The sequence below is a fragment of the Homo sapiens genome, chromosome 15 (genome assembly GCF_000001405.40).
Source record: "Homo sapiens chromosome 15, GRCh38.p14 Primary Assembly".
In the NCBI taxonomy this organism is placed as follows: Eukaryota; Metazoa; Chordata; class Mammalia; order Primates; family Hominidae; genus Homo; species Homo sapiens.
In genome coordinates, this window is record NC_000015.10 from 100,593,325 (window position 1) to 100,610,131 (window position 16,807).

General features: G+C 40.7%; 2 protein-coding genes across 14 annotated transcripts in view, besides 3 other annotated features; one reads left to right on the forward strand and one right to left on the reverse strand.

Moving 5' to 3' along the window:
- LINS1 (lines homolog 1) overlaps positions 1–8,860 on the reverse strand; it is a 35,261-nt gene extending 26,401 nt beyond the window's left edge. For 9 of the 12 annotated variants that reach the window (XR_007064471.1, NR_148018.2, NR_148017.2 and 6 more), the window contains exon 1: positions 8,797–8,860. The gene's annotated coding sequence lies outside the window, so the exon portion shown is untranslated. Of the gene's footprint in view, positions 1–8,792 lie in introns of all 12 variants that reach the window. The other 3 variants (NR_148019.2, XM_047432784.1, XM_005254941.3) reach the window with 1 other exon arrangement.
- Positions 8,778–9,117: an enhancer, noted in NCBI's record as "active region_10170". NCBI's record gives its function as "activates an Ori minimal core promoter by ATAC-STARR-seq in GM12878 lymphoblastoid cells {active_cell/tissue: GM12878}" and the evidence as "EXISTENCE:reporter gene assay evidence [ECO:0000049][PMID:35858748]".
- ASB7 (ankyrin repeat and SOCS box containing 7) overlaps positions 9,265–16,807 on the forward strand; it is a 49,113-nt gene continuing 41,570 nt past the window's right edge. For both annotated transcript variants that reach the window (NM_198243.3, NM_024708.4), the window contains exons 1-3: positions 9,265–9,722; positions 9,891–9,989; positions 16,383–16,504. The gene's annotated coding sequence lies outside the window, so the exon portion shown is untranslated. The remainder of the gene's footprint in view (positions 9,723–9,890; positions 9,990–16,382; positions 16,505–16,807) is intronic.
- Positions 9,288–9,547: a silencer, noted in NCBI's record as "silent region_6877". NCBI's record gives its function as "represses an Ori minimal core promoter by ATAC-STARR-seq in GM12878 lymphoblastoid cells {active_cell/tissue: GM12878}" and the evidence as "EXISTENCE:reporter gene assay evidence [ECO:0000049][PMID:35858748]".
- Positions 9,998–10,047: a silencer, noted in NCBI's record as "silent region_6878". NCBI's record gives its function as "represses an Ori minimal core promoter by ATAC-STARR-seq in GM12878 lymphoblastoid cells {active_cell/tissue: GM12878}" and the evidence as "EXISTENCE:reporter gene assay evidence [ECO:0000049][PMID:35858748]".

Consider the following 16,807-nt stretch of genomic DNA (forward strand, 5'->3'; position numbering starts at 1 on the left):
GGTTACCCATATTAAGTATAAAATCTATCTGAAGCCTCTGTTTATTTTTTAAGTTCTGTAAACTATTTGAATTTTGCATTATATGCCTAATAAAACCATGTGTTTATTAATATAAAATAACATACTTCCCACCCATCTTCACATAAAATTGCTGTGTTAGGAATACGAATCGTTAAACTTTATTGAGTACCTACTATGTACCAGATACTGCTCTAAGTGAGTTTTACAACTTTATGGGGGGGGGGGGTGCTTAATTATCATACCCATTTTACAGATAAGAAAACTAAGAGAGATGTTATGTCACAGAGCTTCAGGGACAGAGTCAGGATGTGAAGCCAGAAAATCTAATATCAGAGCCTGTGTCCTTCACCACTCCACCAAAGCACTCTTCAAACTTCCATTGGTGCTCCAAAAGCCCAGGACAAGAGTTCAACATTGGACTTCAAATTAAATAGTAACTCCTACAGCTTAACTGTTCACACTGTAAAACAATAGTGCTCAGAAACATTTTCACATGCTACGCGAGATCTAAAATCAAGGTCAATTACTATGCAATTTCCCAATATAAACTAAGATTAATTTTTTCAAAAGATACTCAGCAACTACAGGTTGAAATGTTAATCAGGATAGCGATTTGACTGAGTTTTTAAAATTGTATAGTCACCCCTCGGTATCTGTGGGGGATTGGTTCCAAAACCCACCAAGGATACCAAAATCCATGGATGCTCAACTCCCTGGCAAAAAATGGCATAATATTTGCATATAAACTGTGCACATCCTGCCATATACTTTAAATCATCTCTAGATTACTTATAATACCTAACACAATGTAAGTGATGTGTAAATAGTTGTTACACTGTATTGTTTTGATTTGTATTATTTTTATTATTGTATTGTTATTTTTTATTTTTTCTGAATATTTTTTTATCTGAGGTTGGTTGAATCTGTGGATGTGGAACCCGTGGATCCAGAGGGCCGACTATAGTTCCATTTAAGCCCCAGAATCAACAGGCCAGCATGGTAATCAGACCTTCAGGGGTCTTTGATTTTGGTTAATGATCACGAATCTTGTGGGATCAAATGTTGTTGGCAGTGCTGCTGTCAGTGACACGGTTTTCTGGAATTGTGAGTTTCTGAACAAAACAAAGGGCAGTTATCCCTCAGGATCCGTGGGAGATTTGTTCCAGGACTCTCTAAGGATACCAAAATCTACAGATGCCCAAGTCCCATATATAAAATGGTGTGGTATTTGCATATAATCTACACACATCCTCCTAGGTATTTTAAATGATCTCAAGATTACTTAAAATATTTGACACGGTACATTGTAAATGCTATGTAAATATTTGTTACACTGTATGGTTTAGAAAATAATGACAAGAAGAAAAAATCCATACATGTTCAGTGCCAACTCTGAGCATAGGGCTGGTTCCCCCTGGCAGCCAGCACCCCATCCTGTAGCCAAAATTTTTCCCCAATTCCCTAAATATTTTTGATCTGGGGTTGGTTGAATCCAGGGGAGCAGAACCTACTGGAATGGAATCCGTGGATATGGAGGGCTGACTATACTTTTAGTGGCTATACCAAACCCGGCAAGCTCCTCATGAAAAATCAACAATCCACTGTTCCTCCTCGGGCATCAACAGTTCATCCACATTAAAGGCACTGTGAATAAGGGTTACTATGACCTTGATTTTACTTTCTCTAAAATAACTCCAACCTTTTACAAAAGTCAACCCTAAATGGGTCATGGCTGTAAACTTTAAACTTTTAGAAAAAAAATGTAGGAAAAATCTTAGGCATCTGAGGCTAGTCAAAGGGTTCTCAGACTTGACCATAAAAGCATGATCCACAAATGTAAAAACTGATAAACCGGAACTCAGCAAAATTTAAAACTTGCTCTGCAAAAAAACCCTAAGAAGATGAGAAGACAAGCTACAGACTTAAAGAAAAATATCTGCAAAGCACATGACTAGTACCTAGAATATATAAAGAACTCCCAAAACTCAACATTAAAAAAAAAAATTCAATTACAAAATGGATCAGACATGCACAGACATTTCACCAAAGAGGATATAAAGATGGCAAATAATCCCACAGAAAGATGCTTAACCATATTAGCCATTACAGAAATATGAATTAACACTACAGTGAACTACCACTACTAGAAGAGCTAAAAATGACTCCAAATGCTGGGGAGGATGCTGAGAAACTAGATCTCTCCTACACTGCTGGTGAGAATGAAAAACGGCACATCCTCTTTGGAAAACAATTTGTGGTTATCTTTAAAAAGATATGTCTATGTTTGAATTCAGAATACAAAAATAATCTATTTTCATGGTCAATATTAGAAGTAAAAAAAATTACTAGTTTCTTTATATGATGTGGCTACTACATAGACTAATAGACTGGGAAAGTCAATAGTAGGCCTTCCCCTAATTCAACAACAGTTGGTTCAAATCTGACCACAGCCCAAGAGGCTACTTAATCTATTTTGCTCCATTAATGAAGATGCAGTGACAACTGTCGCGGAAGTTGAGGCCTCCAAACCCAGGCTGTCTTCCAGGATTCTGGTTCCCTCCACCAATCGAAACTGCACTTTTCACAGAAAAAATAAAATGGGTCTGGTTAGACAAGAGCACCTCCCTCCCCTATTAAAAGAAGTGGGGCAGATATCTTCCGACAGCATGCCATGTGCCAGTATCTTCCCTTTAGTTCCATTCTTCACTCTCCTCTGTGCCCCAACAGACTCCAGGAGATTTGGAGTGGGAGGGGCGGAAGGCAGGCTGGACTTTCAAGCTCCAGGAACTGCCAGCTCTCTTTACCTTCAGGGCTAAAGGGGGTGCTGGCGGTTACTGGCCTTGGAGTGCTACACCATCCTTCCTTTTCCTCAAAACAATAGTACTCAAACTGTGTCATGCACTAGACAGGTTTATGAAAGCAGACTGCAGGGCCCTATCCTAGGAGCTTCCCATAAGATAGTTCTGGGGTGGGGCCCAGTAATTTGTATTTCTAACAAGTTTCCAGGTTACTTCTGAGATAGTGAGAATACAAACTCTGTCACGTGTTTGTAAATTGTCTTCCTATTAAACTCTTGTCTTAGGACTCTGAAACAGGCCAGATTTTTTTGGCATGAAGGAAAAGCCTGGCAATCAAGTTATAGATAAAAGACTTAATGCTTAAATGCATTTTTCTGTCAAAGTGATATACTGGTAACAGCCTGATGATACAGGAGCTAGAAATTATTTAGACAGATAGTGAGGGTAAGAGAGTCCTCGGCAAGGTTTCCCTTTTAATAAAAAGCAGCCCCCAAATCATTTCTTTTCTAACAAAAAGCGGCCTGAAAAATCAAGCTGCAAGCATAGATACACAAGTAAAAGCTTGCATAGGTGAATGCCGGCAGCTGTGCCAATGGGAAAGGGCTACCTGGGGACCAGGCACAGATAAGAATGTAACAGAGGAAGCCTGCTGCAATTGGTTAAATCCAAGATGGCCAAAAACTTGACTGAATGCATACTCTTGGCTGCATTATGCCCCATTACCATAAAACTTCCCTGGGGAAACCGCCCACTCCCTGCCACGTACCTGAAGCTATGGCAGTTCCAGATTAACCACATTTAGTCAAGAAAAGGGTGGCGCCCTGATTCTGGGAACTGCCCACCCATTTCCTGGAAACCCTCTCCTTTCATCATAGAATATTTGTGCCTTCATCATGCCTGTCTGCGTAGCGAGCCCTGACCACATTACACGCCTCTTTTGAGCACATCCAGGCTCCTCTTTTGAGTGTGCACTTGCTTTCACTCTGCAACAAACCTTCTACATTTTCACTGTGGTCTCCCTTTCAAATTCTTTTGTGCAGAGAAGCGAAGAACCTGACCTGGCCTACTGGCAACAGTATCTTTCTCAAGTAGCTCTATTATGTGACCACTCCAAAGGCAAATCTTTTTTTTTTTTTTTAAACATAGCACAAATTAATGCTGGACATTAGAATCATAACGTGTTCATACTAGAAAAAATCTCAAGAGATAATTTAGAGATAATTCTCAAACCGTAGCATCAGAATTACCTGGAAGGCTTATTAGAACACAAATGGCTGGGCCCACTTTGGAGATTCTGATTTAGTGGGTCTGGGAGGGCCCAAGAATTGAACCAGGGACTACATTTTGAGAACCACTGCACAATCTACTTGATTTATTGATGAGGAATCTCAGCTCCTTAGGTTTTTATATGCTAATGCTAAGCATTTTTAAAATAAATGGAAATTATCCAGTGTATCAATATGAATACTTTTCTATACTTAGTTGCTAAATTATAACTGTATGTTTTAAGTGGTACTTCAGAATGAAATATTTCACTGAAAGGTTTTCCTTAGTCTTCCCCTTTTCCAGTCTATGCCTTGTCCCTTTTCCATCTGCCCCCACAAACCCGCCACCAGTGGCAGGGTAGCGTTGAGGAACTGTCTATAGATGTGATACTGTCTAGATTTTACTGAACTCCTAAATTCTGTACACAGACAAGATCTGATTTTTCAATTGATAAAACGAGATTATCTACCTACCTCAGCCAAGTAGCATACTCAAAGATTTGCAAAAATTAAATGGCTTATATGTGAAAACACCTGTATAACTCAAGTAGGAAGATGTCAATATGTCTTTATTTATTAACCTTGAAAGGTTCCTTCCAGCCTCTGGGCCTTGATACAATGCTTCTCCTTCCACCCACTTTCCCTTTTGTTTTAGGCTTAAATATGACTTTCTTTGGCAGGGGTAGGTCCTCCGGTGATACTGTCTTCCAGCTCTGGTGCCCTGTCTTACAGAATGTGTCACAATTATACTTTAACGATTTGTGCAATGATTTTTATGATTTAGAGTTGTCTGCTTGGTTCTTCCCTAGCTCCTAGCACAGCATTTGATACACAGTAGGTACTTATATTTGTGGAATACATTCCTGGCTGAAGATTAATTTAGTAGTGTATATGTAACAATCCTAAAATCAGTCCCAAAGTATATTTTAGTACCGTTTTGATCTCAAAAAACTTTAAAAACACCATGTAATATTTTAAGTTGTGAATTTTAAATTATAATAAAAATGTAGTATCAAAGAATTATAAACAGTAGTATCCATAGCAGGGATTAAGTTCTGAGCTCATTCAGTCTTTACCGTATGACACATCTGACAACGTACTTGACAGAAGCAACACACACTGAAGCACCATCTTAAAATGGCTGTGGTAGAATACCATAGAAGACCAAAATCCCTTAAATTACCAGGGCAAGAACTATAAGGAACTCAAAAGCCTCCAGTTAGCTTCCTTTCTTTCGGCGTTCTTTTTGCTGTGATGACCAAGGTCTGAAATACAATTTCTCTACCCAGCCCCATCGCCTTTTCTGCCAGGTACAGCTGAACTAAGTTGGGCTAACAAGGCAAATGATGGGCTCCAAACTGTGCTGCATCTGTCTTTATGGTGGCCCTCTTTATTACACCAAGATCCCCAGACACAACCTGCTGGCCCAGAACACTGCCTGCTGCCAACTAGAGCATAACCTGCTCATTCTCTCCACCACCAAGTGCTTTATGGGCCAGGACACAGCCTCCTGGGCAGTGGTCCTTGACCTTGGAATCTGACCTTGACACTGACATCACTGGAACATTAGGAAAAACCCATGAGCCTTGGACTCCCTAGAGACCAGCTAAATCAGAATTGCTGCAGTGGTGCTGGGGCATTTTTCCAATGACAAAGTCTCTTTCTACTCAAGAAATAAACTCAATTCTGATTGAGTCAGGGTTTCATGAATCAAGCTTCATGAATACTTATCCCAAATTATTTCACTTATATGTTGTAAGATGTTCCCATTTTTGTGAGTTTTATATTATTAACTAAGTTAATGGGAAATGAAGTGTATCTGTTAAAACCTAATCAATATTAACTTGTTATAAATATTCCGCAATCTAAACTGCTTTTACATCATTGAAAAGTTATAAAAATTAGCAAATCTGATAGCACCAATTCAATAAAGCAATTTAAAATTACCTAGTAGCACATTCTGTGAAACTTTGACAATATGATGTTACTTGGCTATGATATAATCATGTACTTCAATCATTTGAAAATGGTTGTTTAACTCAAAGGCAGGATTTTTAATGAAAAACAAATGGCCAGAAATACAAAGAACTAGGAATTAGGAGACAACTCTGTTTCTAGGCTCTTCACCAACAAGTTCTTAGGCCCCCATCTCTCTACTTAACTATCATTTAGCAAATACACCATATGAATTGCATGGGTGCCGAGTCTGCTATAAGAATGAATATGTTCTCCACAACAATTTACATATTTATTCATTTCTCTCTCCCTCTTTTTCCTTCTTTTTGGGAGTTCAAAACTTCTTGACTCTATAATTAGTAAATGTTATAAAACTGAACTTGTACATTATATTTGAACTGTTAAAAAGCAAAATTTGAGGCTGGGTGCAGTGGCTCACACCTGTAATCCCAGCACTCTGGGAGGCCGAGGCGGGTGGATCACCTGAGGTCAGAGGTTCGAGACCAGCCTGGCCAACGTGGTAAAACCCCATCTCCACTAAAAATACAAAAATTAGCTGGGTGTGGTGGAGTGTGTCTGTAGTCCCAGGTACTCAGGAGGCTGGGACAGGAGAACTGCTTGAACCTGGGAGGCGGAGGTTGCAGTGAGCCAAGCTCGCACCACTGTACTCCAGCCTGGGCGACAGAGGGAGACTCCATCTCAAAAACAAAAACAAACAAAATTTGAACAAATTTAAAGATGTAAATGGCTTTTATTAGCAATTTATGAATCTGGCAGCATCTCAACTAAAAATTTAGAAACGGTGTTCTGATTAGCTGAGCAGAGGTGGGCTGAAAACGGTTGAAGAAGCAAAAAGAGAATAAAAGACAGATTGGTCATTTCAAAGTTAAACTTTCCTCACAGAGACCAAATGGAGGAGAGACTTCTTTATCATGCTGGCTCAGGTAAATCAGGCCTCCTTGACTCCTTGCTGTGTATCTTCTGGATTTTTTGACAACTGGCCCATTTCTAAGTTGTTTGATTATGTGACACCTAGCACCAGCAACTCCATTCTGATTTGGCCTGGTCTGTTGGGCCTAGTGCAGGGGTTTAATCTAAAACAATGGCTTCCTATACATTTCATTTAACAATACTAATAAAATACCGCTTTTATTTTATTTGTTTACATTGGAGTCCTGCTGTTAAGCAAAAAAAAAAAAAAAAAAAACAGGGAGAAATCATGGTAGAATCGAAAGACCGAAAGCTACTAAAAATTGATAGCATTTAATAGTCCTGAATAAGTTGTTTCTAATTATAATTCAGCTACTAATTTCAAGAAGAAATGGAAATTTAGAAAGTTGAAATTATGAAATATGATTGCTGGGAAGTATAATGGGACAAAAATTAAAAAGCTGAATCTATCTTCACTGCCACTACTGCACTTCTACTCTGGACAACTGCAACCGATCCCTTCCAAAGTGGTTGTATCCAGGCCCACCCTACACCCACTTCCTTCTGAAAAACCAATCCACTTTCCTTAGGATACAGTCCAAACTCCTAAACAAGGCTTACCAAGGCCCTTCAAGATCTGACTCTCGGCGTCTTCTCATCTCTATGCCCCACTCCCCAGTCTCATTACCAGTCATTTTCCTACCACTCTGCTTCAGCTACCCTAGCCTTCTTTCTGGCAGTTCCTGTAAACAGCAAAGCATATTCTAGCATCAGAGGCTTTGCATTTCTAATTCTCTCTGCTGGCAAAATTCTCTCCCTAGATCTTGGCATGGCTGGCTCTTTGTCATTCAGATCCCTGCTCAAATGTCACTTCCTCAGAGACCTTTCCTATCTGTCTTAGTCCGTTTCCTGTTGCTTATAAAATAATTCCTAAAACTCGGTAATTTATAAAGAAAAGTAATTTATTGTCTAGTTTTGGAGGCTGGGAAGTCTAAGACTGACGGACCACGAGACAGCACCGCAAAGTATCACGTGGCCAGGGGGCTGAGCAGGCTCACGAGTTGTCAAGTCTCTCCTTAAAAAGCCACCAGTTCTACCTCCGTGATAACCCATTAATCCATGAATAGATCAATCCACTCGTGAAGACAGAACCCTCACGGTCCAACCACCTCTTAAAGACTCTACCTCTCAGTACTGCCACATTGGGGATTAAATTTCAACATGAGTTTTGAAGGGGACAGATATTCACACCATAGCACTACCTATCTAATACAGCCCATCACGTCCTGGTCAAAATCGATTCCACCATTCTGCTTGATTTTCCTCATATAACCCATCCCTATCTGATAATTTTGTGTTTGTTTCCCCGAAATCACTATCTTGTTCACTGTTGTCTCCCCAGGGACTAGAACAGTGGCCAGTAAACACTTGCTAATGAATAAAGTGCTTAACAAACGTGTCTTGATCAGTCTATCTCGCGTTTTCCCCACGACCCCTCTCCATTCATTCACAGGAACCCGCCAACGTTGCTATCCTTTCAGGAAGGTCCTTGGATCGTCATCGCTATCCCAAAGAGAGTCCGTTCTCCCACTTCAGGCGAGGCATTGCCAGCCTGGAAGCTAACGGGGTCTCAAGGACCGACAGCCGCGCCAAGACCGGGCACTTGCGTCTGACAAGCGCTGAACAGGGGCGGAGAAACAAGGCACCCCTCTACTCGCTTCCTGGAGCCTGCCGCCCTCCCAACCTTAAGCCCTGAACCAGGCTCTCATTTGGCCGCACTCGTGCCTCCCCTGCTGCCAGCACGGCGGCCGGTCCCGGTTACCTGCCTGGGATCTGGCTCAGGCGAACTCTCTTCACACCGCCATTTGAGGGAACACAAATGCCCGCTCTGGGCCACCGTAGTTCACAGAAAGTACAAGCTGGCACCTCCTCCCGCATGCGCAGAGACCGCCTTCGGCGAATAGTGTCTCTTAGCAACGGCTTTGAGTCCCTCCGCCAGGGGCGGAGCCTCGGAAGCCACCACGGGGAAGCTGTAAGGGGAAGTGAGTGAGACCAATCGGAGACGAATCTCTGCCCCGTTCGGCACGCCTCCCTTAACTGTCGCGAATGCAAAGGCAACTTTACGGCAGGCAGAGGGTGGGGGCTGCCGGGGGTAAGGAGGAGAGAAGGAAGCAACCAACCAACCAAGTCGTCCCTACTCCCTCCACCCCCACCCATCCCGGACCTGGTTTACGGCTCCAGGCTCAGGCTCCACTGCGGGCGCTGATTGGTTGTTGAAGGCTTGGTCCCATCCCAGTGACCCCAAAGTGCTGAAGGGAGGGGGCGGGGGTGGCCCAGTGCAAAGTGCATCCCGAAAGCCCCCTGTCCGGAGACCCCACGGCTGGCACTTCGGGCCCCGTATGACCTGGGACCTCGCCGTCCCGAGACCTCCTGGGTCCCTCCGTAGCTGGAAGCCTCCGGCCCGGAGCGCGGCAGCCCCCTGCTCCGAGCCCTGGACCGGGACTGCCCCCCCACCCGAGCCAGGACTTCCTCCCTGCCTCCCTGCACCTCTGCCCCAAGGCTGCCCGGCGGCCGGGATCGCCACCTCCTGCCTTCTCGGCTGTTCGGATGTTCGCCGGGCTGGGGCCGTGAGGCACCGAGGAGGATCAGGAACACCAGGGTCCGGCCCTGCCTGGGGTATTTCTTCAATGGAGAAGTTGGTGAGTGTAGAGGAGGCTGAAAGGAGGAAGAGAAGCAGCAGCTGAGGAGACAGGTAAAGTCCTTTACTTCCCCCGAGGGGAAGAGTGCTGGCTGGGAGGGTAGGAGGGAGGAAAATCTCTGCTTTTTCTTGCCTGCCCTTGCCACTCTCCAGCCCCTTTCCTGAGCTCCCCCCTCCCCACCTCTGAGACACTACACCACTCACTGGTTTCTGTTTTTCTAGGTTTGAGCTGGCTGAAGAAGACGCGAAAGCAGGAAGAGGTCTGCCCACCTATCAGAGAAGCAGAAGGCACAGTGCCTCTGACCAGCATCGTCTGTAAAGGTAATGAGCCAGCCCTCCCCTCCCCCGTTGTTTATTCCTGGCCCCTACCTCATTAAGCAGTGGTTTATTTTCAGGGTGGTTGCCTGGGAATGCAACCTTTCCTACCCCCCCCACCCCCACCCCCAGTTTCCCAGGAAAAACAAAAACATTACCCGTGCCTGATACTTAACATTTTATAACTTCTCTACCCAGGACAGTATTTTCCCACTTTCTTTCTGTACAGTGTGTTTCTGTGTTTTTCATTATCTTTTGGTACACTGTGCCATTTACTCTGCTCTGAGGCTTTGAGACCTTTTTGTAGCTACCCTCCCTTCCTTACTCTCATAGGAATTCCTCAATTCCTTGTTAATTGCTTGTTAATTCTGAATGACTTTCCTTTTTAATTAAACCACAATTTACTGTTTTCCCCCTTACTCTTTCCTATCACCTTTCTTCTACCTGCATCAGAAAAATCTTTTGAGTTATCTAACTGACAACGATTTGGTAGAGAAAGGTAAATTATTGGCCTGAGATTTATGAGTTTCAGAAAATAGTTTGATTTTATTTCCTACTAGAAAGCCAACCTGTGTACCTTAAGAGTGTGAATGGTATGAAGACAACATTATTACCCTGAAGCACTTAGGCATAATTAACTCTTTGGGCTTTCTGTGTGTTTGTGTGTGACAAATGTGGATGGGCTTTGAAACTTATAAAGATACAATGTTTCTTACACCTCAGATTTTCTAGGAGAACTTTTAAAAATTTGCACAATATCTTATTAATCGTTTGACTCAGGAATTTAAAAACAAAGGAACCTTTTGGTGTGTTTACATATCTGGGTCTTAATTTTAGCACTCTATAAAAAAGATTTCTCATTTTAAAACTTTTACGTAGAGTTTGCTGGATTGAAATTTAAGCATCTAATTCATGTGATCACATTTCTGCTGCCATATTTTGTTGCTGCTTCTGAAAATGCTCTGAAAGTAAACTTAGGACATTAGTGTAATTCCTAAAGGGGGGATATAAGCATGGAAATTATACAAGGTTTAATTCCAAAATTAGCCAAATGGATGACTTTTTTAACATCCAGTAGCAAAAGTATAAAGTGACTTGTTAATCTGAGTTATTTTAATATCCCAAATTGTTTAGGGAATTTTTGTTACAAGGAAGTGCTTAAAATAGCAGAAGTTAATATTTTTGATTTCCTATGTTCCACTGGACTTTCTGCCCTCCACAAAAAGAAATTAGTATCTTTACTGATTCTGTTAATTCTTAAGACATAGCTAAAGAGATAAAGACATAGCTTTTAAGGGGATCTGAGGTATGCATATTCTTGAGACATGGAACTGCATGCCAAAAGAAGAGATTCTAGGGAATAGGATTTAGAATCAGTATCTACCAATGACTGTTCCCTGTTGAAAACTTAGGGCAGCTTTTGTATGTATATGTAGGGAATCAGGAGTACTAGACTACATCATTTCAGTAAAAGCTACCCGGAAATCTTTAAAGGCTAATTTTTATTATGTAAGTATGGAAGTTGTCAGGGAGATGGCCTAATGATTACTTCAGAACTTTTAAAAAATGCTAAAATATTTGAAGTATGTTCTAAAGATCAAAATGAAGTACTGTGTTTTGTATTCAAGCCTCTCAGTTAAATATTTTTTCAGCTTTACATGTAACTCTAGGACGCTTTCATTTCTAAAGAGTAGTTTCACCTGAGATGGTAAAGGGAAGGAGTCTGTGGCTAGTCCAGCACATAAGGTAAGAGAGGATAAGTCTTTACTCTGGCTCTCAGCCAGTTCATTCTCATTGCTTAAATCGTATTTCATGGATCATCTCATTTTTTAATAGTTTTTCTAAGATTAGGGAATATGTGTAAATTGTCAACATCTGTCATGTTTCTAATATCAGAATGACTGAGAGTATTTGGTCTAGATTATACCAGGCATTTAGAATATTTAATTTGGGTATTTATTTACCAACATGGCTAGTTAGGTAGCTTACATTTTTTAACCTGGCAGTTAGCTTTGTATTAATTCTATTGCCAATCATGTGGCTTAAAAAAAATCCAATTTATTTCGTCACCAAATATAGATTTATAATCACGTAGGGAGAATAATTGATTTTAATTGAAGATATGCAATGATGCATCTTTAGTATACTGTGGCCAGTACTTACATTCTTTACACATAAAGTGATGTCATTTACAATTAGTTAATACTATGACACATACAGTATCTCTTTAATTTGTTCACGTTTAACTTTGGTGACATAGAGATACACACCATCCCTAAAAAGTCTAAAGCCAGATATGATTTATATGGGCATATCTGTTACCTGACTTTCAGCCTTCCACATCATAATCCCCTGAATGCCCTCCCTACGTAGGATGATTGTCTCCTTTCTTGCAAACTTTCTAGGAATTGACACATGAGGCTACAAAGATGGTGTTGGCAGACCTAGGTTAATAAGATAATATTGACAGGACCTCATCATTATAATACTTGTGATTTAAGCTTTGAGTTGGGTCTGGATAAGTCCAAAATTTCTTCTGTTGCTTCATCCACACTTCATGAAAATTATTGGTTTCTCTGCTGGAATTTATGTGGGTCATGGATAAGTTGTGCATGGTAATAAATCCTTATGTTATATGGAGGCCCAGTAATTTGGAGGAAATACTAATACCTTTATTTGTTTTGGATCATAACCACTATGCTATACTTTGTTGAGTGACACTAAAATAACACTTATACCTTATTTTGGGTTCCAGGCTCCTGATCATATCAGTAGAGCTTGTGAACAGGCATCTCAGCCATGTTCTCCGTTTTGGTACGGCCGTGTAGTGTTTTTCCATCCATCTTCCCTCTTAGATCTTGTGAATGTGAACCATTGAAGGATTGTTTTTTTTTTCTCAGACCCAATGTCGTCGGAGTTGCTGATTGCATTTATTTTCTTACCAGCATGTATTTTTGTTTACTTTGCAAAGAAATGCTTATTTCTTTCTTTGAGTAATAAGCCATTATCTTGTTGCTAAGTTTATGTGACATCAGAAAGCACAGTTCAGTTTGCATCACTTAATCAGAAATGTGTGGACTTTTAATGATAATAATATGCAAAAAGTCATTAATGTCTAATCATTTATGCCAAAGGAGATTTGGGAAATATGGTCAAATTTGGTGAAGGTTTTGTAACTTCGGACAGGTCTTAAGCATATTTTGTTTTATGTTTATTTTATTCTTCACGCTGTTCTATCATATAGACTTAACTATGTGAAGCAAGAAGTTTTGGGTTTAACTAAATGAACTTCACTTGGCATCTATATGGAAATTAGATGGTAATGTACTTGAATTTCTAAATTAGTAGTTTTTAATATGGTCAATAGTATTAAAGCTTGGAAGCCTAGATTCTTTTCTTTTGACCCCAAGTGGAAAAGAAAGTCTTCCTTGTTTGTTTGCTTTTTTTTTCCTTGTGACTGTGAAAGCTAGAATAAAATTTCTGAAGATCATACCCTCAGAGTATCAGTAGCTCCTGAGTCCACAAAAACATAACTAAACATACATAACTTACAAAATTACCTCCTGGCCGGGCGCGGTGGCTCACACCTGTAATCCTAGCACTTTGGGAGGCCGAGGCGGGCGGATCACAAGGTCAAGAGATCGAGATCATCCTGACTAACATGGTGAAACCTCGTCTCTACTAAAAATACATGAATTAGCCGGGTGTGGTGGCACGCTCCTGTAGTCCCAGCTACTTAGGAGGCTGAGGCAGGAGAATCGCTTGAACCCTGAAGGCAGAGGTTGCAGTGAGCCGAGATCGCACCACTGCACTCCAGCCTGGCAATAGAGCGAGCCTCCGTCTCAAAAAAAAAAAAAAGAAAATTACTTCCTTTGCTATATTCCTTTTCTTTTTATAGGTGACTTCCATGAGCTATCAGTTTTTTAATAAACTCCCTGAGGGAAAATAGGCTTTCTTCCATTCTCATCTCTGGACTTCCTCTGTTGTTTTTTAATAGACATATTTACCACTAGATATTGTGTTTGCTTTTCAGCTCCATAGTCTTTTCTTCATTTATACACGTGACTCGACTCTGTCAGGCGCAGCTCTCATAAAGTAACACCAGGAGGAAATTACTTGTTGATGCTTTTGACTATTTGGGGGTCTTTTGTAATAAATTATTTTCTGTCGTAATTCAAAGCAGTGTAGCTGACAGGGATCATGTGTGCATGACGTGTGTGTATGTTTTTTTCTGGTAAACGTTGATGCACTAGTACATGCAGGGAGTACTTTTTTGGTTTAAACCTGTGGTTATTGTTTATAGCACTTGGTATTTTCAGAAAAGAGAAAAATAATCTTAAAATGTCTGGGATTTTAAAAAATTCATTTTAAGTATGCAGAACTCTATTGGAATACCACCTGGAGGTGCTACCTGTGGCCAAACCCTATCACTGTGCCACGTTAAGTGTCAAGCATTCTGTAGACATTTGTTTGTTTGACTGAAGGAGCTCATATGGAATTAGCACAAGTTGCTACCACCTGTGAATCTTTCTTGTTGGGAGAAATAGTTTGGCCACTTCATCTTTTACCACCAGGCCTTTTCTTGATATTGTTAATAAATTAACACCATTTCCTATTCTGCTCAGCTCTCATGCCGTCTTCCCTGACACTTCCAGCTGCCTCCATGGAAGTGGCGGTGGATAGTTGGAAGCCAGCAACAACCACAAGGATTCTTCAGGCTTGAAGCTATGTTGGGTCATGTTTACTTCTTATGGGAAGTAAGGGGTGCTGAGGACACACTTGGAAGTGAGATGTCCAGTGATGTTCACTCTTGAAATGTAGATGTAGCTCGTGAAAAGTGGTGGCATATTCATTTGTGGCAATGTGTGAGGCTCATCACTGGGGACACTGATTTGCATTTTAAAATAAACTTTATTGTAGGAAAGCTTTGGATTTACAGAACAATTACTGAGGCTGTGCAGAGTTCCTACATGCTCGATACTCAGTTTCTCCTACTAACATCTTATATTAACATGTTTGTCACCACCTTGAGGAGAGACTACCTATACAAATTATTTGGAATTCTGAACAACAGATGTGTTTCTCCCCCTTTATTTATCGAATCAGTTATTTGTATCAATGTGAACTCTTGATATCCACTTTGTACTTTGTCATCTGGTACTGTTTTAAGTATTGCTGCAGTTATTCCCTCTTTGGCTATTGAGGGATCTTTCAGTTGGCTCCTGTGTCCCTTTGACCTCCCCCACCGTGGTGTCTTTCTTTGAGCACCTCCTTGCTTTCTGGCACCGTGTGATGTTCCAGTCTTAGAATCGGCCATTTGTATAAGGATCGCTTTGCATGTTTCACAGCTTGCTTTGTAGGAGTTGTTCTGATCTCGTCGGCCTCATTTATTTAGAAATAATAATAGAATTTTAAAACAAATTTTATTTCCAAGGGCAAGTTGGCAAACTCTTTACCTTCCTTGAAGAGGTTTGTCAAGGAAAAGTAGATGAGAATAGAGGAAAAGAGAGAAGTGGACTATACCAATTTGGATTGGTTGAAAATTCTGGTGTGCAGCCAGCAGGACATACAACTGCTGCGGGCCAGGTTGCTAAGTGGCCCGACCTTTTCTTGTCTGAAGGTTTAAGTGATGCTCACCCACCGTCAGGGGATGAGGTAGTAGTTCTCCCAATATGTAATTCCTAGAGTTTTATGTGGAAGTCACTTTGTGTCCTTAACTTTGTTGGAATTAACAGAGCTGGAATTTAATTGACACGAAGAAAGATCCCTTTTCTTTTAGTTGTGGAGAGAGTTTATTCAGAATTCACATGGGGAACCTGGCAAGGCTGTTGTTAATGTTTTATCTAGTTCGGTGTATGCATAAAGGAATAACAATTTCAAAGTGATTGACTTGATGCCTTTAGGGCACATGAAGAAAATGCATTTAAAGACACAGTCTCCTTTTAGTTGTCATAGATTTTATTTTAACCCAGGCCACCTATTATATTTCATGCACACGTATTCTCATTTAAGTCCTGTTTAGAAAGTGCAGGTGACTTATGGTGTCGGTTAAAAAGTAATTCAGATAAAGCAAGTCTGAAACTGTATTCTCAATAGAGGAAAATGAAGAATCTATGCTTGCATCCAAATTCCAAATATGTGATTTATTATTTTTTTTATTTGCTCTTTCTCAAATAGCTGCATTTTGGGGGGAAAAGCCTGAAACTAAATAGTATTTATTGGAGATGAACATATGTAACAAGATTATTTTCTGTAAGAGTTGATCTGAGTTCTTTCTCTGCTCTATAGATTTATTGTAAAGCACTGAAGTTTACATTCATCAAAAGGTAGACTATGCAGACAGCTATGATTATTATTTTAAGGAATTTTCCTATGATTGTTATTTTTATTTGTTTCTAGGTTAAGAAGGCTTTTTTGCTCTGTAGCCTGGACGTACTTTGAAGCCCCTCCCCACGATGCTGTACGTGCACAATGGTTACTAGGCAATCCGTACATCAGGAGAAGGGACACTCTTCCATAAGGCAAGTTGCCTCAGGGTCATTGGTCATCTGTGTTGTTCCGGGGGAAAGCTCACTTAACTTTTACTTCTCTCTTAAATCAGTTAATGTATACTAAATACACCACTCACTAAAGAAAACCCAGGTTTGTTTTGATATTGTTTCAGTCTTTTTCTTGCATGGTAGGCCTCGTTTAAGTGCCAACATAATCACTTAATTAAAAAGAAAAGCTGTTAAGGATGATTGTGAGCATAGTATGTTTCCATTAATTCCTTCAGACGGTCTTCAGCATTTTCTCTCATAACAGAATAAGCAAAAACCTATTCT